The sequence below is a fragment of the Homo sapiens genome, chromosome 6 (assembly GCF_000001405.40).
Source record: "Homo sapiens chromosome 6, GRCh38.p14 Primary Assembly".
NCBI lineage: Eukaryota > Metazoa > Chordata > Mammalia > Primates > Hominidae > Homo > Homo sapiens.
Window position 1 is genome coordinate 43,831,404 of NC_000006.12, and position 27,517 is coordinate 43,858,920.

General features: G+C 49.4%; 3 long non-coding RNA genes across 5 annotated transcripts in view, besides 4 other annotated features; 1 reads left to right on the top strand and 2 right to left on the bottom strand.

The window, feature by feature from the left end:
* Positions 1 to 27,517, top strand: part of LOC105375070 (uncharacterized) — a 107,357-nt gene that overhangs the window by 34,245 nt on the left and 45,595 nt on the right. The window contains exons 2-3 of one of the 2 annotated variants that reach the window (XR_007059589.1): positions 11,108 to 11,230; positions 13,873 to 13,956. This is a non-coding gene — a long non-coding RNA (uncharacterized LOC105375070). Of the gene's footprint in view, positions 1 to 11,107; positions 11,231 to 13,872; positions 13,957 to 27,517 lie in introns of those variants that run through there. The other variant, XR_007059588.1, reaches the window with a different exon arrangement.
* LOC105375069 (uncharacterized) lies at positions 5,529 to 7,396 on the bottom strand. 2 transcript variants are annotated; one of them, XR_001744130.1, is made up of 3 exons: positions 7,251 to 7,396; positions 6,481 to 7,009; positions 5,529 to 5,608 (listed from the first exon to the last, which is right to left on the bottom strand). It is a non-coding gene; the product is annotated as an uncharacterized LOC105375069 (long non-coding RNA). The 2 variants fall into 2 exon arrangements; XR_007059590.1 differs by lacking the exon at positions 7,251 to 7,396 and having other exon boundaries at positions 6,481 to 6,626; positions 6,799 to 7,044.
* Positions 13,473 to 20,930, bottom strand: LINC02537 (long intergenic non-protein coding RNA 2537). Its single transcript, NR_149142.1, has 4 exons — positions 20,774 to 20,930; positions 18,693 to 18,801; positions 17,358 to 17,529; positions 13,473 to 14,419 (listed from the first exon to the last, which is right to left on the bottom strand). It is a non-coding gene; the product is annotated as a long intergenic non-protein coding RNA 2537 (long non-coding RNA).
* Positions 19,293 to 19,939: an enhancer, noted in NCBI's record as "H3K27ac-H3K4me1 hESC enhancer chr6:43818433-43819079 (GRCh37/hg19 assembly coordinates)". NCBI's record gives its function as "activates a minimal SCP1, AML or CMV promoter by ChIP-STARR-seq in naive H9 embryonic stem cells {active_cell/tissue: H9 hESC(naive)}" and the evidence as "EXISTENCE:reporter gene assay evidence [ECO:0000049][PMID:30033119]".
* Positions 19,940 to 20,586: an enhancer, noted in NCBI's record as "H3K27ac-H3K4me1 hESC enhancer chr6:43819080-43819726 (GRCh37/hg19 assembly coordinates)". NCBI's record gives its function as "activates a minimal SCP1, AML or CMV promoter by ChIP-STARR-seq in primed H9 embryonic stem cells {active_cell/tissue: H9 hESC(primed)}" and the evidence as "EXISTENCE:reporter gene assay evidence [ECO:0000049][PMID:30033119]".
* Positions 20,587 to 21,233: an enhancer, noted in NCBI's record as "H3K4me1 hESC enhancer chr6:43819727-43820373 (GRCh37/hg19 assembly coordinates)". NCBI's record gives its function as "activates a minimal SCP1, AML or CMV promoter by ChIP-STARR-seq in primed H9 embryonic stem cells {active_cell/tissue: H9 hESC(primed)}" and the evidence as "EXISTENCE:reporter gene assay evidence [ECO:0000049][PMID:30033119]".
* Positions 26,826 to 27,497: an enhancer, noted in NCBI's record as "H3K4me1 hESC enhancer chr6:43825966-43826637 (GRCh37/hg19 assembly coordinates)". NCBI's record gives its function as "activates a minimal SCP1, AML or CMV promoter by ChIP-STARR-seq in primed H9 embryonic stem cells {active_cell/tissue: H9 hESC(primed)}" and the evidence as "EXISTENCE:reporter gene assay evidence [ECO:0000049][PMID:30033119]".

Below are 27,517 nucleotides of genomic sequence, written 5' to 3' on the forward strand. Positions count from 1 at the left end.
TGCTTCCTCATTGCCCTCCAGATAGGTAGGCTTCATTCCAGCCTCCCCACCTTTGCTTATGCCCTTCGTTCTGCTGGGAACTCCATCTGCATTCCTGTCTGCCTGCTCCAACCCTGCCCATCTTGAATGCCCCAGCTCAATCCAACTCCTCAAGAAGCTTCTGTGGCTGTTCCATCCTAGTGAGCTTTCTCCTCCCACGACCCTCAATGGCTGGGATAGAAGTTGCTCAATAGATTCTCATTAATTAGAATTTATTGATCACCTATTACATGTCAGTGTCTTGGGCTGGTTTCCTCTGAAATAAGGACTTGAGCATTAATAGTTTATTTGGAAGATTTCCATAAAACACCAGTAAAGGAGTAGAGAAGTGAGGCAGGAAAGAGAAAGAAGCCAATAAAATAAATGCCTGCTACTGAGTAGGTGACTGCTGTATGCAACTGGGGACCTTTGGGTAACTCATCTCAAAGTTACCCAGCCAGCGGGCAAGGGAGCTAGCGTATTAGCCATGAAATCATGTAGCCATTGGTTGAGAGATCCTAGGGAAGTGGGTGTCAATTCCCTGGCACTTCTGACCTGCCCTGTATGGGAATCCAAACGGGCTCAAAGTGTCAGAATGGTGGGTGCTGAGCGGACATGGGTGGATATATCCGTGTCTGCATATGCTGATAGCTGAGGATACAAAGATGAACAAAGCAATCCCCTGCCTTTCAGGAGTTGTACAATCAAGTCAGGGAGGCAGAGGGTTAAACACATTGTTCCAGGGCAGCACAGTACATTCCAGAATAGAGGTACAGTACATCCTCACTTAACATCATCAATAGGTCCTTGGAAATTGCAACTTTAAGTGAAATTACGTATAATAAAATGAATTTTTTTCTCACTTAAAAACAATGTTGAATGAAATGACATTATTTGAGGACCCGCTGTCTGTCATTTTGTTTAAAGTCAGTACTGTCTTCATAGTGGGCTGTGGGAGTTTAGGGGTGGGACACTTGACCAGCCTGGAATTCAGGGAAGAAATCCTGGAGAAGAGTGGAGTTTTGAAGGCAAATCATTGCCACTGTGAAAAGTGGCAGCAGGACATTCTACTTAGAGGGAACAGCATGGGCGAAGTCACCATGTGGGGTGGGGGGTGCTCTGAGCCTGCTGTCAGCTGACATGGCCAGCTCTGCTACCATCTCCATCCCAGCATAAGGGTCAGCTCAAGTTCAAAATAATTTTGAGATAGCAACTAATCTTAACTGTTAACCAGGGAGGACTGGCTGATGTTGAATTTGCAAACACAGGAAGATTTGCTCATTTACTGAGCTTAGTTAGAAATGTGTCACCCGCACTCTTTAAGTAAATCAACAGTCTCCACACTGTATCCACATTTGGGAAGACATTGGAACCTCACTTTTATTCTTTCTTTTGTCCTTTATAATGTACATAATTTATTAGTATGGTAGCACATATTGTATATCTTATATACATGTTAGGGGCATATGTCACAGATTTTCTGTGGATAGAGGTATATAATCAAAAGAATTGGGAGCCTACTGAAGTGGGTGATGGCTGAGGTAAGCTTGGGATATGCTTTAGAAAGAAGGTTCTAAACCCAGCTCCCCTACCCCATCCCTACTGGCAAGAGGTTAAGGTTGGGCTTTCTCTCTAGTGGCATCCCTGCTTGCTTGTTGTGCCATGTGAACATAGGCCATTTGAGGGCCAGGTTTGGGCTGCAGCTGTGGAATAGGCTTCTTTCTCCCTCCTCAGGCCCACTGACCCACCCAGGGGCTTGAGTCTTCTTTGGTAGAGGCGGCCTCCGTTTGGAGCCGTTTCCATGGTTATGAGGCAGGAGCTATCACTTGCTCTTTCTGTCCCTTGCCTCTGACTCTGATGGGTCTGCTCTGGGCTCCCTCCTGTCTGGTCTGAGGTCTCCAGGCCTGGTACAGGCCCTGCGCTCACACTTTCTGGCTGACTCACAGCTTCTCCAGCCACACTCCAGCCCCTGCCACTCACTCCTGGCCTGGCCCCATGGTCAGAGCTACTGTCAGTCACTAATTATCTTAGTCATCTTTCCATCTATGCTTGTTGAGCTAATGGAGAAGACAAACAGAAATCTCAGCAAATGTGGAAAATTCCTGCTGACAAGGCAAGGGGCCCTGGCCCAGGTTTGGTGAGATTAGACTTTCCCCAGTGAGGCTGCAGGGACGGCCCCCCAGTTTTGAACAGTTTAATTGGGAAGTGGCGGGCAGCCTTCCTGGTCAGTGCTGTGCCCCCTGGTTGGCAGTCCATCTTATCAAACACAGAGCAGGGCTTAACTCAGGGTGGGAGCGCTGGGGAACGGGGGCCACAGAGCCAGGTCTTGGTGGTATCATTATTCAGGCAGCCCCAGGGCTGTCTCTCCAGTTGGGATTCTTGGTTCTGGGGTCCTCCCGCCCCAACCAAGGATGCCCAGCTGGCCAAGTCAGCTGAACGGGAGGGTGAGGCCTGGGCTGCATGCTCTCTCACACCTGAGGCCTGTTAATAATTACCCCTGGGGAGGGCAAGGCCCCAGCAGACATCACTAATGAGCCTGCTAAGTGACAGCTGGGCCCTTTCCCCCTCACCTGCTCAGGAAAACAAGATCCGACCAAGGAATTATTTAACCCTTTTTGGGCTGGGCGCTCCCTGAGGACAGGGTTGTGCCTTCCCCTCAGACTGGGGCTTCCTGAGTCCCTGGAGCCTTCTCCATTGTCAGCACAAGACTTCTTCTATTCCTGTTGTCAGTGCTTGCATTTCTGCTCTAATGGAAGGCTGCTCTGTTTAGTGTCAGCTCTAAGCAGTGCTGTCCGCTAGAACATTCTGTGATGGTGGAAATGTTCTCGAGCCGCACTGTGGAAAACAGTAGCCACTAGCCACACGCGGGTACCGAGCACTTAAACTATGCATCTGATTTACGGTAGTTTTAAAACCCAATTTTAGTTAATTTAGATTATTTATGAATGAGACAGGGTCTCACTCTGTGGCCCAGGCTGGAGTGCAGTGGTGCAGTCTCGGCTCACTGAAGCCTCGACTTTCCAGACCTAAGCCATTCCCCCACCTCAGCCTCCTGAGTAGCTGGAACTACAGGCACACGCCACTACGCCTGGCTAATTTAAGAAAATTTTTTTGTAGAGGTAGGGTTTCACAACATTGTTCAAGCTGATAATTTAGATTTAAATGGCCACATGTGGCTAGTGGCTCCCATACTCCGTGGTGAGGTCTATAATGTTTCACAAGGGAGGCCTTGAACGGGTGGTGAACAGATTTATGCAAAACAACCCTCTAAACTGCAATCCCATTGGTAGGTCAGAGCCCATTTTCTCACCCTTGCAGGCTTGAAGGGGCCCAAGGTTATTTTCCTTGGAGATGGCTCCTGGAAGCCTGGGTGGGTTTCCTCACTACCTCCCTACAAAAGCCCCTAGGTGGCTGAGGGGCCCAGAGGAACAGGGATCTGGCTAGAAAGCACCTGTTCTTAACAAGGGTCCCCAGCAGCCAGGCAGCCCTCCCTCCACAGGGCACGGGGCTGTCGCTGCCTGAATGAGGGAGATTTATGGAAAATCCCCTCACACAACAGGCGGATTTTCCAAGCCTCATTGGTTGTTCTGGTCTGAGCCTTCATTAAGGGGAACAGGGGACAATGGAGGAGGTAGGGGTGAGGCCCTGGGTCCATTCAGCTCTCTATCCTTTGGCACTGGGAACTCCATCAAGGCCCCCCCAACCCTTTCCTGGCTTGAGGAAAGGTCACACTCTCTCCCCTTTCAATAGTAATAAAAGGCCCCAAATATCCAGCAAAGTCAGACTCGGCCTTTGAGGAATATCTTTCTTGCATTTTAAAAGATTTCCAGAAGAGATATTCTTTGGTTTTGCTTTACAATCCTCTGTGCCTTGTAATGCACGGTCTTGGAAGTTCCTCCCTACAGCTAACCTAATTTTATTACGCTTTAGGCCTGCCTCAGTAGGACTTCTCCTTTAAAGTTACGGCAACATTTCAAAGTAGCAAGATCAATTGTGTGACTTCCCAATAAAAATCCTTGATTGGAAGGAGAAACCACTGGCTACTAGAGCTGGAGGGACCCTAGAGATTTGCAGTCCGTTCCTCACTGCGCATTCAGAGAGTGTACCGCCCAAGCAGGTGGTGCCACACTTAGAGCCAGAATTCATGCTCCAGGTGGTACCCACCTGTATACCAGCTGCCTCTGCTGCAGCACAGTCACATAGAGATCCAGAGACCCATTGAGACAACCCTTCCAGAGGAAAGAGCACTGCTTGACCCAGGGGAATGGATTTCTAAGAGTGAATATTAGGTCTCATCCCAAAGGCTTTTTGTCTTAAAGCCCCTTCCAGAAAGTACTCAGTATGTAGTAAGGAGATCAGTGGGAGTGTCTTAGAGGTAAGACCGAGAGTGGCCCTTTGAAGGTGGCGAGGGAAGAGAAGGGTGAGGCATTCCCAGGGTTGCAAAGACTCAGGAGGGCTATGGCAGGGGCCTGGGGCGCTTCCCCTGTGTTGGGGATGTGACTGAGGCTGGGCATTGCTCACTGAGTAGAGTCGATGAGTACAGCCAGTTCCCTATAATGGTGGGTGTCCAGGTCCTGGGAGGTGACTCGCCTTGTCGAGGGAAACTGGTGGGAGCAGGAGGTGTTTATGGTTTTCCCTCTCCTGGGGGCAGCTGGAGTGAGCCAAGTTTACAGTTGCCCAGAACTCTATAAACACACTTGGTGAGCATGTGTGCGTATGTGAGTGCCTGTGCGGGTGAGTGTCCCCTGACATCTGACTGTCACCCCTGCTGGGCGGCCCTGACCTTCCTGACCTTGTGAGAAAGGAGAGAAGATGCTAAGCTGAGTGACTTTGCTCTCTTGGGCCTGGTGACACCTACTGAAGGGGTCCGTAAGCCTGGGCTATGTGGGACCCTGGGGGCCCTGTAGGCTTCCTTGGGAGGAAGGCCTTGAGGGGATCCTGGAGAGTGGGGAGGAGGAAGGGCATTCCAGGCCTGGGGAACTGCAGGAGCAAGGAGGTGTGTGTGTGTGTGTGTGTGTGAAAGAGAGAGATCGGAGCAGGAAAGGGCGAGCCTTACAAGAAAGAGAAACTTTGGGGAAGCCTTTAGATCTGACCTGATAGTTCGTAGAGACATATTGAAACCCTGTCTGGCACACAGGCCCCACGTGCTTATTATCATTAGTAATTATGACACGACACAGAGGTATTCCCTGGTTTGGTGACTGGGTAGCCTGAGCCCTCCATATTCTGGCCAGTGCTGAACATGGCTGGCATTAGGGATAGCTTGTGGTCTCAATTAGGGGCCAGCAGTGGCCAGGGTTAGGGGTCAAGTGGTAGCCAGGGTAAAGCAAGCTTGTAGTCAAGATAAAGGGTCAGCTGTGGTTATGACTGGCTGTTGATAAGTGGTTGGGGCTAGAGGTCAGATACTGACAATGAACAGTTTTCTATGTATGATGCTAACTGCTCTGGAAGCAGCTCACCTTATCTCGGAGGCATAATGAAGAGGCAGGAGCATTTGTCTGAGAACTAAGAAGACTTGGGTGTTAGCCCTTGTTCTACTCACTTATTCGCTGGGTGAGTTGCTTCACTTCTTTGAACGTCAGTCTTCCCTCTGCGGGAAAGTAACAATGCATGCCCTCCTGCCTTACAGTATGTGAGGTATTTGTTTCTGGGTATCCTATTATTAAATGTGATTAAATAATCATTAATAGCAACACAGCCTTTCCAATCTCACCCTGCCAGGCCTGTAGGTAAACCCTCAGTGTTGGCTGAGGGTAGGTTGGGGGAGTGGTTAAATAATGGTCCACAGACTTGGCCACTCATTGGAATTACCTGGACATTTACAAGAGCATACTGATGCCTGACTTACTCCAACCCTCCTGCATTCTGAATTAATTTATATGGGGTGACCAGGGCATCAGATGTTTTTTTAGACAAGGTCTCAGTCTGTCCCCCAGGCTGGAGTGCAGTGGCACGATCACGGCTCACTACAGGCTCGACCTCTTGGGTTCAATTCTCCCACCTTAGCCTCCCAAGTAGCACCAAGGACTATAGGTGCATGCCACTATACCCGGCTAATTTTTAAATTTTTAATAGAGACAAGGTCTCACTCTATTGCCTAGGCTGGTTTTAAACTCCTGAGCTCAAGCCATCTTCCCGTCTTGGCCTCCCAAAGTGCTGAGATTACAGGTGTGAGCCACTGTGCCCAGCCATGCATCAGAATTTTTGAAAGTTCCCCAGGTGATTCTAATGGGCAGCCAAGTTTGAAAACCACTGGGTAAAAGCCAGTACAAATGAACTAAAGAGAATGAGTCTTTAAGCAGCAACCTGAGCTGTAGATAAACCAACCAGCTGAATCCATGCCGCATTTCTGTGGGGAGCTGAGATGGGACAGCAGCAAGAGGCTTGGGGAGAACTTTCTCACTTAACCCTCTCCATACCTCTGTGTCTTCATTTGTCAAATGGGGTTATCTTTATACTTACCTCACAAAGGTTGTACTTTATAATAATCAGCCCCAGCCAGCCAAGAGATGTTGACTGAATATTGGGGACTGGAGTGGAGAAAGCAAGGTCCCTGGAACTTCCCTTCAGCGCTGCCTTACCCGAACTTTTTGAGGATAGTCTGAAGCCTGGGGATGGACAACATGACCTTGATGAACCTGGAATCTCCTGGCCCTGAAGAGGATCTTTGGCATATATGTCCCCTGTTTCAAACATCGTCCCCCTCAAATGCACTCACATTCATTTCATCACGTCTTTCATTTTTTTGTTCATTTCAGAAAATACCATCCCCATACTAACCTGTAGGACAGGTGGGGGATGGGGAGATGGAGTTCCATCACCTCTGGCTCTTTCCAGGGTTGGGATGGGATGTTATGGAGCCCCTGGAAGCTTCAGCTGAGGGTTGGGGGCAGCTCCTGGCCAGGTTTCCAGTGTCTTGGTCCTCCGGGGAAAATGAAGTTTTCTTTTGTGGTCTGTGTGTCTTTAAGACTTGAAGGCTGTGGGGACCTGACTGGGGAAAATTCCAACCAGTGGGTTCCTTTGAAATGGAAGTGACATCTAGTGGTCTGAAAAAGAACTGCCAAGTTGACCCCCCCCAGCCCCAGGCTGCCCCTGGGGTCCCTTCCCTGGCCCCAGGTCACTTTCCTGCTGGGCCACAACCCTGCTTGAGGGCAGTCTAAGTCCTGACAGTGGGCTTTTGGTGGCAGGGTGACTCTCTTGGCCCTGCCCAGGCTGGAACCCAGGCCAGGTACCTGCACTCAGGTCCAGACACAGAGAGGCCAGGCCCAGGGCAGCCAGAAGAGGCCCAAATATGCCAGGGCTGCAACATCGCGTCCCCAGGTGAGGTGGAATCCTTGGGTCTCGTGTCTGTTGATTCTGAGGAGCCCTGTCCTGAGTCTTCCACAGAAGTCAGAGTGCTGTGCAGGCCTCAGTGCTGAATCATCCTGTGGCCAGGCTGCTGTTATGCAATGATCCCGCCGTGGGTCCACTGGTGTCAGCGGCTGGCCTTCAGCCTCCCCTTCAGGGAGGCAAGGGGCTTTGGGCGGTGCATGTGCCCAGACTTGGGATGTGTGAAATGACGGCCTGCTCAAACACCTGGCCTTGGAACCAAAAGGGAGGGTGGGAGGAGGGGACAGTGCCCAGTCGCTTGTTCTCTAAGGTTCCTGACTTGAGGAGCCCCAGTCTGAGGGGGAGACATAGCCCTGCCCTCAGGGAACCCCAGAGATCCCTGATGAGGGCGGGAGCAGGAAGGAAAAACACACGAGTGGAACAGACCTGATGAACCCTGCAAAGCGCCAGAAAAGCCAGAGCAGATGATTTTAGGACAGCAGGGCCCCAGGGGCTGTGCTGGGAACGGGGCAAGTGACTGGCACTGGGATTGAGTGGCTGCTAGTGCTCAGGGGAGGCAATGCCTTTAATGATGGCAGGGGACCTGTCCCCTGTCCTCCATGTGTGTATACCTGGGTTTTTCCCCAGCACCTGGTTCACAGGATGAGAGGCCTCAGTCCATCTCAGACACTAAGCCCCATGGCACCAGGGCCTGGGCAGGTAATAAAAGAGACTCAGCAGGACTGGGAGGGCTTGCTGGCATTGTTCGGACACTTGGCATGCATCTGTTTCTTTCCTCTCTGCTGTGGTCCTCACTGGCAGCTGGGTGGAGAGAGAACCCACTTGGGAGGCAAGAGCCCTGTGGGCCACCTCAGCCCTGTCTCTGCCCTACCCCACCCCTGAGCGAGGCACAGCTGCCTCTGGCCTTACTTATGGTTCTGGAAGCTTCCTTGGGCCCCTTCTCTAAGACCCTTGGCTCAGGCACATCCTTCTGGGTTGGGAGGCGTCTCTTCCAGAAGGTGGGTGAGTTTGAAGATAGACTTCATGAAAATGCTATGCAATTGGCTTGCTTCTGAGAGATTTGAACAGCTAGCATTTTAACAATCTCCCAGAATTTATGAAGTAGAAAATACTTGTTTAGCATTGTCTTATTTTTAAATAATTAATTTTAGTTCAGGCGTGGAGGCTCACACCTATAATCCCAGCACTTTGGGAGGCCGAAGCAGGCAGACTGCTTGAGGTCAGGAGTTTGAGACCAGCCTGGCCAACATGGTGAAACCCCATCTCTACTAAAAATACAAAAATTTTCTGGGAGTGTTGGCAGGCGCCTGTAATCCCAGCTACTGGGGAGGCTGAGGCATGAGAATAGCTTGAACCTGAGAGGCGGAGGTTGCTGTGAGCCGAGATCGCACCACTGCACTCCAGCCTGGGCGACAGAGTGAGACCTTATTTCCAAAAAATAAATAAATGAAATAAATAAGAGATACTATATGGACACAGTGAAAAATGCAAGCGCAATAAGAATTAGGGAACCTAGGTGAAGGACATCAGCAGTTCTTATTTTTGCAACTTTTCTGTATGCTTAAAAAAATAAAAAAGTAAAATAAATAAGAAGTTAAAAACAAATTCAGACAGAAGTGTAAGCCTCTCTTCTAACCTTTCTTCTAGCCACTTACTCAGTCCTTCTCTTGGAGGCCCCTGAGTTACCAGTTTCCTGTGTATCCTTCTAAAGGTAGTCTAAAACATATACATTTATAAACTGTTTTCCTCCCACATGAATGATGACTTTTCTCCACACCGTTCTGCAACTTTTTTCTCTCACTTAACAATAATCTGGAGACCATTTGGTGTGAGTGCACAGATAGCTGGCTCATTCTTTTTCTTCACTCCAGTTTATTCTACCAAACAGATGTTTCAAATGTTTATTTGGAAGAGATTGTATAATAAGGTGGTTAAGAGCATAGTCTTTGGAGGCAGAATGCTCTCGTTCAAGCCAGTTGTTTAATGTTGAGCCAGTTACTCAATGTCTGAGTGACTCAGTTTCCTCATTTGTGATCCAAAGATAACAGCATCATCTACCTTGAAGCATTTTGTGGAGATTCAATAAGATAAAGCTTGTAAATGGCTTAGGACAGTGCCTGGTGTGCAGTAAGCACTCAATAAGTGTTCGCTGCTCCTCCTGAGGTTATTTTGCCAGACCCTTTTTGAGAGAGCTGGGCTGTTTCCAGACTTTTATTATTATAAACAATGCTGCAAACAAATAGCCTTCCCCACACGTCATTTGCTCCTTGTGGGAGTGCATCAACAGGAAAAATTCCAGGGAGTAGAATTGCTGGGTCAAAGACCGTGTGCATTTTTAATTTTGAAAGATATCATCAGGTTGTCCCCCTTAAGGGGTGGTCCCAGTCACTGGGCCACCAGCTGAGTTTGAGCCTGTTTCCTCAGCCTCACCAACAGAGTGTGTGTTTCATTTGAACATATCATTTCTCAAATTTGTTTGGGCAGAGAAGTCTGTTATGGAGTTTCTTGGGGGATCATTTGGCCTTCAAGCCCCTCTCCCCTATACCTGCCTGAGTCTGTCAAGGAGTTTGTTGGGAGAAGCCAGCCCACCATATGGTCTAGACTGGTCTACAGCCAGCAAAAGGCTCCTGAAAGTCTCTGCTAAGGTCAGCTGCATATTCCTTCAATATGTTGATTCAGGCAGGGTGCGGTGGCTCACGCTTGTAATCCCAGCACCTTGGGAGGCCGAGGCAGGTGGATCACCTGAAGTTGGGAGTTCGAGACCACCCTGGCTAACATGGAGAAACCCCATCTCTACTAAAAATACAAAAATTAGCCAGGCGTGGTGGTGCATGCCTGTAATTCCAGCTACTTGGGAGGTGGAGGCAGGAAAATCGCTTGAACCTGGGAGGTGGAGGTGGCGGTGAGCCGAGATCACGCCATTGTACTCCAGCCTGGGCAACAAGAGTGAAGCTCCATCCCCACCCCATCCCTGACCAAAAAAAAAAAAGATACAACAATATGTTGATTCAATATTACGGTGCTCACAAGTTTATACGTTGTTGGTGGCAGTCTCTTCTGGGGCCTGTTAGCATATTAAAACTATTGGTTAAATCTGATAATGCTTTAGGTTGTGCTTGTTTTTCACCATTTCATTCCTGAGCCAGGGGTTTGCAATTTCTAATCACATTTTTAACATTTTCTCACTCCTACAAAGGCACACAGACAATGCCAGTACTCAATTTGCTGTAATCATGGAAAGCCTGACTGCTCTACCTGGAATTAGACTTCCTGCTATGGATAACCTGTAAACCAACCTCCCTGCCTTCCCTTCGTGGAAAATTGAAGTTGATTATTAAAAAAAAAAAAAAAAAAAAGGTAGACTCTGTATTAAGAGGCCCTGTCATCTGAAAATGGAAACCTCACCAACACAAAATATATCAAAAGGATGAGTATTCTTTTTACAAAAAGAGTTCCTACTGAGTTAATTTTAGTGGATTTTTAGTAAAGCCTTTTTAGACAACTATAACAAGGCAGAGAGGACTGTTTGAAGGCGGCAGCTTTGAGCAGGAGAGCAGGCCTGATGTGTCTCACCAATTCTTAACTTCTGTTCACCCGCAGCTTGCTCACCCCTGATCTCATGCAGGACCGGGCTGGAATGATCCTTTGTGATTCATTCTGATTTAGGGTGGCAGCCAAACTTTCTAGGACTTTTGCGGGCTCTGTGGGCTATCCTGCATCAAAGGCTCCAATGCCTCTTTCCTCTCCTCTGACCTTGCAGATCTGACAAATGCCAAGGACTTTGCCTACGCTGGATGTGTAGCCGAAGACTGTCCCAGGCTGCTCAGAGGGGCGGAAGCAAACTCGCTGCATCTCCAGAAGCCCCTCAGAGGTCAGGTTTAAGGTGAGGGTGTCCTTGAGTGAAGGTCAAATAGGTTTCTTTTCTCCTCTCTTTTTTGAGACAGGGTCTCACTCTGTTGCCCAGGCTGGAGTACGGTGGCACGATCATGGCTCACTGCAGCCTCAACCTTCTGGGCTCAAACAACCCTCCCCACCTCAGCCCCCCCAAAAACCAGGACTACAGGGATGTACGGCCACACCTAGCTAATTAAATTTTCTTTTTTTTTTTTTGTAGAGACAGGATCTCCCTATGTTGCTTAGGCTTGTCTTGAACGCCTGAGCTCAAGTGATCCTCCTGCCTTGGCCTCCCAAAATACTGGGATTATAGGCAGGAGTCACTGTGCCCGGCCAGGTTTCTGTCTTCCCCCAATTGTTTAGTAAACTTTTTTTTCCCTCTAATTAAAAAACACACTGAGAAAACTGCACAAATCATAAGTAAATATTGCAGTGATCTTTTACCTGCAACACATCATCTAGATCAAGAAATATAGCTTTGCCAGCTTCCTGTAACCCTTGCCTGGTGTCCCCTCCCAGTTGTCACTCCCATCAAAGGCAGGCATTCTTCTGCCTTCTATTCCTGACAGTTAGTGTGGCCTGACTTTGGAACGTTGTATAAATGGAATCACATTGGATGAACTTGATTGTTTCTGGTTTCTCTGGCTCACCATTTTGAAATTCACCCATGTCATGTGTGCGGTTCACTTATTCTCATTGTGGTATAGTGTCCCATTGTATGACTATGCAATTCTTAATCCATTCTACTGATAATCTTTGGGTTGTTGCTTGCTTAGGGCTGTGATGGATAATGCTGCTGTAACATTCTTATCTTTGCCTTGTGGTGTGCAAGTGTACACGTTTCTACTAAATACCTAGGAGTGAAATTACTGTGTCATAGACACTGCGAGTTTTCCAAAGTGGTTGTAGCAGCAGCATATGACAGTCCCAGCTTCTTCACGTCCTCACCAACACCATTGTCAGTGGTTTCACTTTAATATCCTGGTGGCCAAAATTACCTTTCTAAACCATAGATCCTTTGATCTCTTTCCTGCTTTGAGCTTCCTAACATTTCCCCAACATTTTAGCATGAAAACTTCTACAGAAAAGTTGAAAAAAATTTTACAGTGATCACCCATATCATCACCAAACATATAATATAATCACATCATCCACATCTTGTTATAATCACTTTTTCACATGTCTAGCTAGCTAGCCTTCCATCAGCCATCTTCTTTTTTCATTGTCAGTGCCTCTTTATGAAGGTAAAATTGACATACCAGAACATATCCTCATTTTAGGCACACATTTCATGATTTAAGTAAATTTATACAGTTGTGCAACCATCAGCATAATCTAGTTTTAGAACACTTCTGTTACCCTAAGCACGTTCTCCTCATACCGTTTGTCGTCAATCCCTACCACGGCTACCAGTCTCAGGCAGCTACTAATCTATCTGCTTTTTTTCTGTGTAATTTTGCCTTTTCCAGAAAGTCTTTATAGATAGAAGTATACAATGTATAGTCTCTTCTGTTTGGCTTCTTTCATTAGAATGGTGCTTTTGAGATTCATCTATGTTGTGGCATGTATCAGTAGGTTGTTTCTCTTTATTGATGGTTTCACCATGTTGGCGAGGCTGATCTCGAACTCCTGACCTCTGGTGATCCTCCCGCCTCGGCCTCCCAAAGTGCTGGGATTGCAGCCATGAGCCACCATGCCTGGCCTCAATAGGGGTTTAACAACAGGATCATAGTCTGGCATAGGAGAGGTTGCCCATTTATGGAGTGGTCTATTGTATGGGAAGAAGGAAGGATAGAAAGAAAGAGACAGAGAGGTAGAGACAGAGAGAGGAAGAGACAGAGAGATAGAGACAGAGATGAACTTGTTGCCTCCATATTCTCTGTCTCCAAGTCAGCAATGGGCCTCCTTCCCTTTGGGAAACTTCTTGACTGCCCGGCTCTCAGGTGCCCGTGGTACACCTTGCCAGTTAGATTCCTCCTGTGCTGACCCTTCTCTGCTCTGGGTTTGTATCTGTTTCAGGGTGACTGTCTCATTTAATCCTATAATGTTCACAAAGAGCTCAGCACGATGTCTGGCACATGGTTTAGGACTTGGGAACTGGTGGTCTTCAGTATCCATCTCCCCAGCAGCTTGCTGGGCTCTCTGAGGGCAAGAATTGTGGCTTCTATGTCCCTTCAGTGTGGCTCCAACTCCTGGGAAAGCCCCAGGCACATGGGGAGGGGGCAGGGAGGACAGTGGATGGGGTAGTGGGTCGGGGCCCTTACATAGTCAATGCGTCAGCACCCCAAACTCTGGCCCTCTGGTTAGGTCTCTATTAGGGAAATGGCCCTGGGCTGGGTCTAGGGGGGTCACTGGACCTTGGTGCCGAACCACAGCTGGGAATGCCAGCATCACTAGCAAATTCAGCATGGGCCTGGGGAACAAGGCTGCTGGGACCCCCTGCCAGTGAGGAGGACTGAGCAGCAGCCAGGCACGTTGCCTCCTCCCCACCTCCTTCTCAGCCTTATAATTCCCAAGATTCCTGTTGTTTTTCCAGACCCCAGACCTCCCTGTCTGTGCGCTTTCAGGAGTGCTGAGTGTGGGGGGCTCCCAGGCCTATGCCGATGATGCCCTCCTTCTTTTCCTTTCCAGGCTAAAATGACTTCCTCAGACCTGGATGTGTCTTCATGGCTTCGCTGTTCCTGCATGCTATGGTTGAGGGTTTCTGTTCTCTAATGCAGTGGTTCTCAAACTTGAGTGATGTATGCTCAAGTGCAGAAATCAGAGTTTTTGATCCAGCAGGTGTGGGGTGGGGCCTGAGAACCTGCATGTCTAACACATTCCCAGGCCATGTTCATGCTGCTGGGCTGGAACCACTCTTTCAGATCCAAAGCTTTGATCTCTCCTCCCGGGGCTCAGCCTGTGTCTTCTTTCCTACATGATGGGGAGCAGAGAAGGCAGGGGGCATCTTCTTCCTTCTCTGCACAAGCCCTAAAAAACACTTAGATCATAGTGACCTTGATGGTGACAGTAGGAAGTCCATATTTGAGTTGCCTTTGGCCAAAGGGCATGGCAAGACTTACAGAGGGAAGAGCAGATACAATGTCCTGTCTTCAGCACATCATAAAAATAAAAACAGATGAAAGCTGGAGAGGATGTCAGAGTAGAGTCATGCATCACCTAACGATGGGGACACATCCTGAGAAATGCATTGTTGAGCAATTTCGTCATGTGAAACATCATAGAGTACACTTACACATACCTAGATGGTCTAGCCTGCTATACACCTAGGCTATGAACACATACAGTGTGTTACTCTACTGAATACTGGAGGCAATTGTAACACAGTGGTAAGTATTTGTATGTCTAACATACAAAACATATGTAAATATAGAAAAGGTACAGTACAAATACGGTATGAATGATAAAAAATGGTACACCTATAGAGAGCACTTACCATGAATGGAGCTTGCAGGACTGGAAGTTGCTTTGGGTACGTCAGTGAGTGAGTGTGTGAGTGTGTAGGTCTGGGACATTGCTGTGCACTACTGTAGACCCTATAAACACTGTGCATTTAGGCTACACTACATTTATTTTAAACATTTCTTTTTTCAGTAATAAATTAACCATAGCTTAATACAGCTTTTTTACCCTATAAACTTAAAAAAATCTTAAAAACTTTTTGACTCTTTTGTGAACACAGCTTAAAACACAAACGCATGGTACAGCTCTACAAAAATATTTTCTTTTTTACGTCCTTATTCTATAAGCTGTTTTCTGTTTTTAAATTTAAATTTTTTTTTGTGAAAAACGAAGACACAAACATATACGGTAGCCTAGGCCTATTTGAGGTCAGGATCATTAACATCCACTGCCTTCCACCTCCACATCTTCTGCACTGGAAGGTCTTCAGGGGCAGTAACAGGCATGGAGCTGTCATCTCCTATGACAACAATGCCTTCTTCCGGATACCTTCTGACGGGCCTGCCTGAGGCTGTTTTACAGTTAACATAAAAGTGTAAGGAGTATACTCTAAAATAACAATAAAAAGTATAGTAAATACATAAACCAGTATCATAGTGGTTTACGATCATTATCAAGTATTATGTACTGTACATCACTGTATATGCTGTACTTTTATGTGGCTGGTAATGCAGTAGGTTTGTTTATACCAGCATCACCACAAACATGAGTAATGCATTGCACTACAATGTCACTAGGCGCTAGGAATTTTTCAGCTCCATTATCATCTTACGGGACCACCGTTATATGTGCAGTTTATCGTTGGCTGAAACATCATTATGCGGTACATGACTGTATAAAACTAAATAGGTAGTTTCATGAGAGAAATAATCAGAAGTTACTACGCTGTTTTAACTGAGCATCAGTAATAACGTTAATTTTGATTTTGGAAGTAACCCATGTAAAAAGAACTCTGCAAATTACATAGGTCAGACGAGATAGTAAATGTAGCTTTTCTGGCAGTGTTCTAGAATGTTTATTCAGATTCAGCTCAATCTTGTGGTCAAGCTGGGTCTGACAAAAGGTCCTTAAGAGTTCTTTAACACACTCTACCCTCAAACCTATCCTATGAGGTAGACATTGTCATTCTCATTTTACAGATGAAGAAACAGGCTTAGCAGTTGTATGGTGGATCCTGGATTCCAACAATCTTTTTACTCCAACTCAGACTTTGGAACCTGAAGTGAGGTGTTTTTTGTTTTTTTGTTTTTTTAACACAACACCACAGGTGAATGCTAATTAAGATTCCCCTGAACAATTTCTAGCCAAATCGCAGACACATGAGGCTGGATGAAGGCTAGGGCAAGCTCTTCTCTTGCTTGGGGTGTGAACTCCATTGACTTTAGCTTGCCCTGCAAGGAAAAGTCCAGCATATGTACCATCAGAAATGACAGATTTGGAAACAGAGTCCTATACAGACTTATCTGAGCTTTAGACAGGCAAGATTGATCAGGGTAGCAGATCTACTGTGATCACTTTTAGTTGTTCTTCAGCATCTGGCAAAGTGTGTGTTTAAACAAGCCAGGTATGCTGCTTGCTGCTTGCTGCTTGCTCTGAGAGATTAGGGATAGTGCTGCATCCAGCTGGGCCACCCTCAGCCCACCCTGGGCCAGATGGGTATTAAGTAAGGGAAGCATCTGCATCATGTGAGTGTTTACAGATGCCATATGAATAGACCCCATTGGAAACCAACTGAGCCACAGACGGTGCACCATGGCCTCCTGGAACTGTCACTGGGTCCCAGATTTGTGGTCTGGGTATCATTCCAGTGGAAGTTTATTGCTCCATAAAGAATTTAGGCAGGAAGTAAGATAGATCGTGGATTAGATAGTGACCTTTTGAGTTGGAATGGATGAGTGCTGCTCATGGTAGGGATGAGAATGAAGAAGGAGGAGGAAGGTGGGGGCGGATGGGGTTTTGATGATTGGAGGTGACAGAGGATGGTGACAGCAGTGGTTGGGGGGATGGTGGTATAGGAGATGGACGTTGTAGGAAGCTGGTTATTGGGATGATGGGCTGAGTAGCTCAGGGAACCAGCTGGAAAGTCCAAAGCCAGGGATAGGAATTTGATCATGGTTGGGGGTGGCTAGGGAGGTGAGAGGGTTGCTTGGGGGAGGCATTGCTTTCTGATCACCCGCTCCTGCTTCCAAAGGTGCCTGTTGAGGGTATTTACCAAACTTGCCCCAACAGCCCAGCTGGGAGGTCCTTCCTGGCTGAGATTTAGCAAACCTGTTTCCCTAGGAGGCCTCTCTTACCACAACAGACAGATGGGTGCTGATGTCAGCAGCAGTGCAAAGCTGTAAGTCAGCACTAATGGGGGTGGTACCTGAGGGCCAATGAGAGAGAGAGCTCTGCCCAGCTTGGCCTCCTCTGAGACCCACCCCAATGGGAAGACAAGGTAAGAAGCCCATCCTGGGCTTCCTGGCCAGGTTCCTGGAATAGGTGGCAGGTTCATGGTGGGTGACTGGGGCTCAAATTTGGCATCTCTGGGACACGGGAATTGGAAGGGCTTGTCATGGGCCATCTGGTTTAAGCCTATGCAGAGAAAAGAAAGGCATTAGGATTCCCATTACCTAGATGAGGAAACTGAGGCCTTGGGAGGGGGAGAGTTGTACCTAAGGTTAGCTGGAGAAGCAGCAGCAGAATCAGGCTCAGAACTTCTGTAAGAGCACCTCCATTTGTGTACAAGGGTGGGAGTATGGGGCAGTGAGCTCACCAGGACAGGAATCAGCAGACCTAGGCAGGCTGTTTCCTCTTCTGCAAAATGGGAGTGCCAAAAAGTTGCTCCTAGGGTGTGGAGAGGATTAGACGAGATGGGCATAAGTAAAGCACCCTATGAACATTAATTTCCTTTTCCCCACAGATCATTTGTCCTGGGTGGGAGTCTTCAGTGCACCTCAGTGTGTGTTTGTGTGTGCATGAGTGAGTATGCTGTGTGTGTGAAAGCATGCACAAGCCCCTCCGTGTGTATGTGTTAGTATGTATGTGAGTGTGTGATTTGCAAATCCTGACCAGGCGGCCATTGTGAGGGGAAGTGGCAATGTTTACCGACCTTGGGAGGTATTAGAGGTTGGAGCCTCTAGGATTGGCCTGGCATGGGCTGAGGTGGCGGGACTGGAGTTGGAGGTGCTCTGGATCCCCCAGGCTTCTGTAAACCCTGAAAGCTGCTGCTCTGGACACTAACAGGGCAGGGCAGGGTCACGCAGCTCCTGTTAGGGGCTTAGGCAAAGTCATCAAGTGACTCGGAGTAGGTCTTTAGGAGGTCCCCCTGGGCATTTGTTGGGGAGTCCAGCCAGGGGTGTCTGAGCAGAGATGAGGGAATGGGCTGGAGGGCACCAGGGAGAGGAGAAGAAGCAGGGCTCCTCTCTCTGCCTCTTCAGGGCAAAGAATTCTGCTTTCTTTGTAGCTGGAGGTGACCTCAACTTCCTCCCCTTGCTCTGGGAAGAGGCCTGAATATAAGTCAAGTCATTTGTGCTAATCGTTGACATTTTTGAGACGTGCCTTCCCTGGGAGTTTGGGGGCCTAGTATGCAAATCTATGCACATTATGTGACATCAACAGAAAAATTGGAACCTCAGGGAATTGCTGGAGCAGAGAGGTTCTCCTTCAGAACTGCTTCTAAGCTGCCTATAATTCCCCCCATTAAATTCACAGAGGCAAAATGTGTTAGATCCTGGAGGGTCAAGACTGAGGCCAGATCACAATGGCCTTTCAGTCCACGGTCTCACTTTACAGATGAGGAAAGTGAGGCCCAGAGGGGAGGCATGACTTGCTTGAGATTATACAGTCAGTGGCAATGCTGGGGTCAGACCTGGCCCAGGATCATCCAGATTCATTTTTTGACTTAATATGCACAACACACACACACACACGCACACAGACACACACACACACAGCCTATCCTTCGCACAGTACCCACAGCTTTATTTTGCTTCACAGCAGTACCTGACCTTGCATGTTTACATTTCCTTCTCCTTCTGCCTGACCAGAATAAAGCTCCATAGGGGTGAGAAGTGTGCTTGTTTTTTCATGTTGTATTCACTGTCGTATCGTCAGCATCTAAAACACAGAATGGTGGGATTCATTCATTCATTTGCTGGTCGCCTCTCTGATGTGCCCTCTCCATTCCAGACCCTGGTGAAACAGAAAGGTGTCAGACCTGGCCCCTAGACCCTGGCTCAGGTGGCTTCAGGCCCTTTCTTCTGGGCCCCAGTTGCCTGGGGGGTGGGAGGGATCCCCTCACCCAGGTCCCACTGGCGCTGACTCTGGAAGCTCACCCCAGGGGAGGAGAAGCTAGGGATGAGAATTAAGAGTCCTCTCCAAGGAACTCCCAGAGCAGAATCAGGGAAGCCCCCACGGCACTGAGGAGAGTGGGAGTGTGAACACAGTAGCTTGTGACCAGGGAGGTGGCAGTGGGGAGGAAGGTAGAAGCTCATTTGGGAGGCAGGGTGTGGGGACTTGGAGGGGAATCCTAGGAGGAGAGGGTGAACGAGTACTGTGGAGGCTCTGGGCACTGGGTGTCTAGGGCAGGCTGTGCAGGTGGGGCTGACAGAGAAAGAACACTGCCATTTATTGACATTTGGGGTAGGCTGCAGAGTGGGGGCTGGTGTAGAGAGGCAAAAGGCCAGACTCCAGTCCCTGCACTTCATATGGGCAGAGTGGCGAGGCGTTACATAAGCCCCAAAAAGAGCTTTGGTCGAAGGCTTAATTTTCTCATCTGTAAAGTGGGGATGATAACATGAACCTGGGCATGGGGGCCTCGTGTCAGGAGGGAGGTGAGTCTCATATGAAGTAATCTGTCTGAACACCCTCAGCCCACTGCTGGACCCCCAAACATGAGCTGGCCTGTCTTCCCAGTCCTTTCTCCCTTTTCCCAGGGTACATTCTCTGGGAAGTGGGGCCCTGTGGCTGCTGCCCTGTGGAGGGGCCAGTCCCCATCCTCTCTGCTCCCCAGCCCCTGTATGTTCATTTGCCCAAGAGGTCACCCAGTTTCCTCTGTCCTAGTTGACCAGAACCCTCTGGACTCTGTGGGTGCTACGGGTTTTCTGGCCTGGACCCACGCCTCCGCCTCGCTGGGGGCTATGAGCAAGAGAGCAGCAGACCAGATTTTGCAAGCCTGAAATAGTTTATGGCCAGGCTGAGGCCGGGAGGAAGGAGGGCATGGCCCCAGGAATGCAGGAGGAATGCCTGGGAGGCCCGTTCCGTCCCCCACCCATCCTCAACTCCCCAGGGGGAAGGAGTACAGGCCTCAGGATTACCGGGCACTGGGCAGAGAGAGGGAAATGGTCTGGGCCCTGAGCATTCCTGGGGCTGGGGTGGTCGCAGGGCCAGTGAACGGGTGTGTATGTGGGGTGGTCTTCCTGCAGACAGGAGTATCATCTCCTCCAAGGAGGCCACCTGGATTAGACTTCTCTGTCTACTCCATTCAGTCTTTCCTACTTACTTGCCTGTAGCACCAAGGATACATATCTTCATTGCTGTGTGCTTGAGAGCAGTGGGGGTTGTTTTTCTACTTGATGCAGGGCCTCTCTGTCTCCACTGTCAAACTGGGAGCTCCCTGAGGTCAGGGTTTGTGTTTTCCTTTCAGATTGAGAATTCCTTAAGGATTGAGGCTATGAATCTCCCATAGAGTAGAAGCCCACACATGCTTCCCATGCCAGAATGGGGTGGAACTGGAACGACAAGATGCAGTCTTCACCCCCATTCCTTTAGACCCAAGATGGGATCTCCTTCAATCCTGGCTGGAAAGTGGGATAGCGTTCGGAGGGCCAGTTGAGTCCTGTGGACCAGACAGCGGCCTATGAACAGCATTGGCCCTCCCATTTCCAACCATGTGAACACCTGCGGCCCCTATGTGGAGGCCAGAGGAAGGCAGGCCCCCGTTACCCATCTGGACAGTCCACTTGGCCCTGCTGGTATCATACCTTGGGCTTGCCCCCTCTGTATGTGGCCTGGGGTCTATTCCAGGAAGGGGTGGGCAGCAGAGGGTTGAGAGTGGACAGGCCACAGTGCTCCAGGCTGTTAATGATACCTGCATTTTCCTGGGCCCTATGGCCAGGCCGTCACCTTCCCTTTCATGTTTGGCTCTGTCTCAGTGAGCCAGTAGGTGAGGTGGGGGCTAGGAGGGAGCCCCAGGGTAGGGGCAGCCAGGCAGGCACAGAAGGAGGCAGATGATTGGTGCCTGGCCAAAGTCACAAGGTTCTAGCACCCTCCATTTCCATCAATGCCCCAGCTCTATTATGGAAGACACAAGTTGCCAAAACTCCGGCAACTCTGGCTGGTCACACCCTGTCCTTTTGTGGACACAGCTCTCTGGCCTCCATGGGCAGGACATCTATTTCCAATTCCCGCATGCACTCCTAGACCAGCCTCATTTAGGTCAGTCTGTGGTCAGGGTCATGGACAATCTCTGCAGGGTTGGGCCAGTCTGTGGTTAGAATTAAGGGTCTGAGATCTGGGTTTAGGGTCAGGCTCTGACCAGGGTTATGTGTCAGCCTGTTTTCTGGGTTAAAGGGATTAGACTTTGACTAGGTAGGACTAAGGGTCAGTCTGTACCCAGGACCAGCGTTAAGTTTATACCGAGAAGTAGGAGGTCAGTCTGTATCCAAGCTTAGGAACCAATCTGTACCCAGGACAAGGAATATGGATCCCTAATCCAGGACTGTACCTAGGATTAGGGATCAGTCTATACCTAGGATTAAGAGCCAGTTTGTATCCAGGATCAAGGATCAGACTGTACCCAGAAATGGAGTAATCTATACCCAGAATAGGAGTCAATGAGCATTGAGGGGTAGGCGTGTGTTTTGCACTGAAACTGAACCTATGACTAGGCCACAGAAGGTTACCCTAGCCCAGCTGGGCATAGAAGGCAGAGAATACAGTTTGCAGTTTGAAGGGGAAAGAGTTTGATGATCCCCTGGCCACCTACTCTGGGTACCCACCTGCAGGAGTTACCTGGGGCAAAGTGGGGCACTTCATCACTCCCAGCCTTAGCTTCAGCTTGAGGAGTCACAAGGAACACCAGCCTGAGCCGCATGGGGACAAAGTGTGGTGCCCAGGCAAGGTCCAGTGAGTGGCTCAGAGGCAACATTGCCCAGTTCTATAGCCAGGAAGAATCCTGAGCAACTCCACCACAGATGGCGCTTCTGTTTGCACTGCACTTCTCGAAACTCATTCACCAACAGTTCATTCTGCAAATATTTCCCAAATACCTGCCATGCTTTAGGCCAGAGGTTCTCAAAATTGAGTGCACAGAAGAATCAACTGGGTAGCTTGTGAAAAAGGCTGACTCCTGGGCCCCACTCTTGGGTATTCTGGAGCAGAAAGGCGATAGGAGCTGCCCAGGAATCTGCACTTTTAATAAAGTTTCCTAGTGATTCTGCTGTGGTAGTTTAGAGCCATGCTCTTGGGACCTGTCCTCAAAAGGCCCATCAAGTTAAAAAAGGATTGCAGGAAACACCCATAATGCTGTCTGGTGAGTTCAGCAAGCCGGTGGGCATCTTCCAGGGCATCTGGAAGAAAAGGTATGCATGGCTGTTTTCAGAGAAGACCCAAGAAGACCTTGTGAGGAAGCAACAGGGAATTTCTGCCTCATTGTTGAAGAAAACTTGGTTGTCTTTTTGCAAAAATTGTATGGAACGTACCTGTCTAGCCACCCCAAAGCCTTTTCACATGATTGGCAAGGTAGAATTCCAGCAAGCACACAAAAGATTAGGTCTGAGAGTAGAGGTGTAAAGCAAAGCATACTTTTTTTTTTTTTTCGAGATGGAATCTCGCTTTGTTGCCAGGCTGGTGTGCAGTGGCGCGATCTTGGCTCACTGCAATCTCCGCCTCCCGGATTCAAGCGATTCTCCTGCCTCAGCCTCCCAAGGAGTGGGATTACAGGCATGCGCTGCCATACCTGGCTAATTTTTTTTTTTGTATTTTTAGTAGAGACGGGGTTTCACCATGTTGGCCAGGCTGGTCTCGATCTTCTGACCTTGTGATCCACCCGCCTCAGCCTCCCAAAGTGTTGGGATTACAGGCATGAGCCACCGCGCCCGTCCGCAAAGCATAATTAATACATTAAATGGGGCAAAGGAAAAGAATGCATCTAAAACTGCTGTCTTCGTCTGGTGGTAAGGAAGGAACAATGCACGACAGCCATTAGTATTAATAACTCACCAATTGTCTATAAACAGTCATCCTGAAAAGCACTGCTCGAGCAGTGCAGTCAGCTTTGTTTAAACCATGGCCTTGTGCTTTGTCCCACTCTCCCTGCATAGTTTCACCAGCTAAGACCTTTGTCTGCAGTTGGTATATTTGTAACAACAGGGTGTGTGCGTGTTTTCATTTCCCGGATATTACCATATTGATTACACTTTTGCAGACAGCACATTTCTCTCTCCTACCTGCTCCTTGGTTAAGAATCCTGGTGCTGAAGCGCTCAGTCATCTTGAGGACCTCACTGAAGGCAGGGAGGTCATAAAGGATGACTGTCCCCTCTGGGGCTGACCGCCATGTGTCATGCTTCTGGAAGTTTCCAGAAATATTTCTTTATTGAATGTTTCCATTCTTCCTTCTCAAAGTGAACAGATTTCTGGGCCTTTCTGCTCCCTATGGGGCAGGAGCTTGAGGTATTGTGCTGCTCAGAGGTGGGGACAGGACTGGACTATGTCCCAGGAGCTCCTGGAGGCAATACCCTTTCTGGCTGGTCCTGAGATTCCAGATCCTCATGCACAGAGGGCTGGAGGTGACCTTCCATTTCTCTAAGCTGGGCTGTGAGGCACCTGGGTCACAGACCCCACAGGAAGTGGATACTGCCAGGAAGTTCTTATGTTTATCCCAGTTCAATTCTACCTTGTTGGTTTCAGCCCAGAGTTTCCAGAGAGGTAGGGATTTTCTGGGGTTCTCCAGCTGGGAGGGGACATCCACAGCTCCCCTGGACACTCCCATGCCTCCAGAGGCTCCCTCCCCAGGGCATCTCTTCATTTCATTCATTCATTAATTCAACAAACGTTCACTGAACACCCATTGGGCACCCAGTACAGTGCTAGGCACAGGGACCCAGAGGTGGAAGGATGGTTCATGGTATAGACAAGTGGATGGCAAAGAAGCAGATCATTTTTCTCTAGTATGGTACGAGTATGCCAAGGGATTATAGGGGATAGGAGGGGGACCTGCTTCAGTCTTAGCGGGTCTATAGAAGGCAGGGAAGTCTACATGAAAGTGGTCATACTTTATCTGAGTTTTAAATTAGAGAAGTGGGGAGTGTGCTGGGGATGTCCGGGTAGAGAATACAGCCTGCACGTAAGCCTGGAGGCTAGAAACCACATGGCGAGGGCTGCTTTAGAAACCACCTGCTAGGGGCTAGATCCTGAGGTTCAAAGCAGGGAGAGTGTGGGCTCAGGCTGGAGAGGCCTGCAGGGGTGACATCGCAGCAGTGTGGTGGGGAACTGGGGTAATGGGGAGCCATAGCAGATGTCTGCTGGAAGGGAATGACCTAGTCAGATCTGTCAGCCTGACACCATCCAGTAGCATCAGTGTCTGATGCATCTTTCCCATGGCAGTGGGTTCCATGCACTTTTCCTAACAGGGAGCTCTGGGAAGGCTGCCAGAAGAACTGGACAGTGTCACAAGCTACTCGAATGTAAAATTGTAAAATTTGGGGAAGGGAGAAGGCTTCCAAGACAGACCTGGACTTGGATTTCTTGCTGTTGGAGTTCCGGCAAGGCACTGAACCTACTTAGGACTCATTGGCCTATCTGTAGAATGGGAGCAATCTAATATTTATGGCCGAGTTGTGGCGAGAATGAGAGAGCCTATAATAGAAGCTGTCAGATTGTGCAGTCCAGGAGAGGGCGGAAGCCAGAGCTCATTCCAAGGATGTAACTGGGGGGTCAGAGCCTGGTCTCCCTGCCCAGGGCCTTAGCCACCATTCCCTTTGCTGCCTGGGCTGCTGTCTGTGACATCCTACCTTGCGTGAGGTCTGATGACAGAGCCTGGGGAGCTATCCCCACTATAAACAGTCAGGCCCTGAGTTTCTCCTGCCAACCTGGTGCCTTGGCCCTGTGTGCCCTGCAGCCGGCCAGTCCTCTGTCTGCAGAGCAGGGATGGAGATGAGAGGGGCCTGCCCAGCTTCCTACAGACCTCACAGTTGTGCAAGGCCGCCTGAGTCCAAACAAACCGCAAACCTACCGCTTCCCTGGCAATTGCAAGCATTCTGGCCAGCAGGTGGCCAGGCTGTCACTGCTAGGGACAGCCAGGGCCCAGGTCCTAGAAAAGGCCTGCCTGACCAGGAGGGAAACTAGACTCATGTCTGGGCCTGACAGGATGGAAAGAGCTCCAGGCAGAGAGTCAGGAATCCTGAGTTCTAGTCCTACTTCCCCTACCAACTCACTGTGGGACTTAGGGCAGGTCCCTTCCCTTCTTTGGGCCTTAGTCACCTCAGCTGAGTCTGAGGAGTTTGGTTATGGTTGTCCAGGGTGCCTTCTGTCTTGGTGTTCTGGGAGTATGAGTTGCTGTCACCTGGAGGCCCTGGAGAGGTTGTGCAGCCTTTCCCTAGCCTTGGGACAAGGGGCACGCCAACCCCTCTTCATTCATTCAGTATCAGCTCCAACTTCAGAGAGCAAACCACAGGCAAGAGAACAACTATGTTTGGTTAAACATGACTGTGTAAAAGTGAGGAAGATCTTTTTGGCTCTGACTTGGAAGCTTCCAGTTGCTACTTCATTTATTCATTTAATGAAATTGAAGACTAAATTCAGTTCATTCATTTGTTTAACAAATCTTATGGGGCAGCTACTGCAAGCCAGGCACTGTGCTAGGACCTGGGATTTGATGGTGAACCAGGTAAGCAGGGTTCTGGTCCTTAGCAGAGCTTACAGGCAGGCCTGGTCTCTTTTTCCTGGGAAGCTGGGATACAGCTGGCCCATGAGCAGTATTGATAATAAGCCCAAGACCCACTGGGACCTCTGTCCATCCCAACTGTGTAGAGAGCCCTGTCCTAACTACTGAAGGGGAAGTGGAGGAGACAGCAAATGCATCCTGGCCCCCAGGATGCTCCCATGCTGTGCAGTTCCCCGCCCTGCTCCTTTGCAGCAGGTAGGAAAGCCAGCTGATTCCTCAGGGACCCATAGAAGCCATGTGTCAGCAAGCATAAGCCAGGCCCTGACTCAAAGGGCTCTGGGTGAGGGCAGCCTGCAGTTCCCAAGGAGGAGCCACCATTTCCTCCAGGGCCTCTTTCCTGGCTTTTGGGCTAATTCAGTATTCAGTGAGAAGGGGGTATAGATCAGGGGTTGGGAGAATGGCAGCTGGACATGGAACCATAACCCTTTGGGTCTGGGGGAACTGTTGGTGGGTGTGATCATGCCCTGGGTAGGCTCTGGGTCTTTCCAGAACCTGGAAAGGTGGAGCGGGTCTGCCCTGGCCCATGTGAGCCATTGACCCCTTGATGTTCCCACAAGCAGAACCCTACCCCAACACCTAGTAGAGGCAAGGATGTTAGCAGAGGGCTGTCCTGCCCCAGGGGGCTTGGCCCATGAGGGGGTGCCTTGAATAGGGGTAATGGGGATCTGGATCAAGCGCCCTCCCTCTATGCTCATGGCCAGTTTGGCTATCTGCTCTCCCTGCCTGGCCTTCCAAGCTCCCAGGTAAGGGATGCCGAGGCCCAGGACAGGCATCTTGCTTCTGCTTTCCCCAAACTCCTTCCACCAGACTCCTGTAAGAGTCCAGATGGGCAAGCACTGAAGGCCCCCTTCTCTTTTTTTGTCCCCTCCCCATCACTTATCTTTCAATAATCCCCATCTTACTTAGGCCCCTGCTGAGCTCGGCTTTTGGGGCAGTTTTAGACAGCATATTTAGTATTGTGTCAATGTTAGCTAAACTGATGTAACTTGGGGAAACTGAGTTCCAGAGGGAAGACAAGGGCTTGCCAAAGTTCACTCATCCAGCCAGGGCTGAGCTGGGACCAGAACCCAGCTTTCCTCAGGTCCCCAGGCTGGCTGCCTCCTGGGCTTCCCACAAAACTCTAGGCAGGATCAGCTGCAAAACTCGTGGTGCCCACTACAAAATGAAAATGGCAGACCATTTGTTCAAAAACAAACAATTTCAAGATGGTGACAGTAGAACATTAAACCAAGTGTGGGGCTCTTGACTGAGCCCAAGCTGCAGTCTGAGAAGCTGGCCCTTATTACCCTAGGGGTGGGGAAGGAGGAGAGGGAGACCCCCTGCCAGATCGCTCCTGGGCGGTCAGAGGGCACGTGCCTCACCACTGGAAGGTTCCCTGAGCCAGCCAAGGCCTTCCTATTGCCAAGATGGGTAAAAGCCACAGTTTAGGGAGCCCTCCGGCACAGAGTCACTGCAGTGCAATGCCAGGCCTCCAAAAGATAGGGGCAAGACAGACTCAGAAGTGTGTCTTTAGAGTGGCTAACTGCCTTAAACATCCCCTGCTGGAAAGTTCTTGGGGGCCCAGGAGGGATTGGAGGTGCAGCCGCCACCACCAGCAGGGGCTTCAGGCTGAGTGATGAGGGAGGTGCAGAGGGGAGGAGGCTGCACAGTTCCTACCACCTTATGCAAGAGGGAGAACAAAGGGGCTTTGCTGGGAGGTATTAGAAGATTAAGTGGCTGAGTCCAGGACAAACTCAGCAAGCCCCTTGGGACCTGAATTAGCAATAGCAACTGAAAGCGGGGAATTAAAGCTCCTGGCCTTCGAGCAGAGGCCCCCCACCCCTTTTAGTCTCTGCCTGGGCCTCCTCAGAGAGCTAACCTGCTGCCCTGCCTGAGTTCTTGCCTGGGG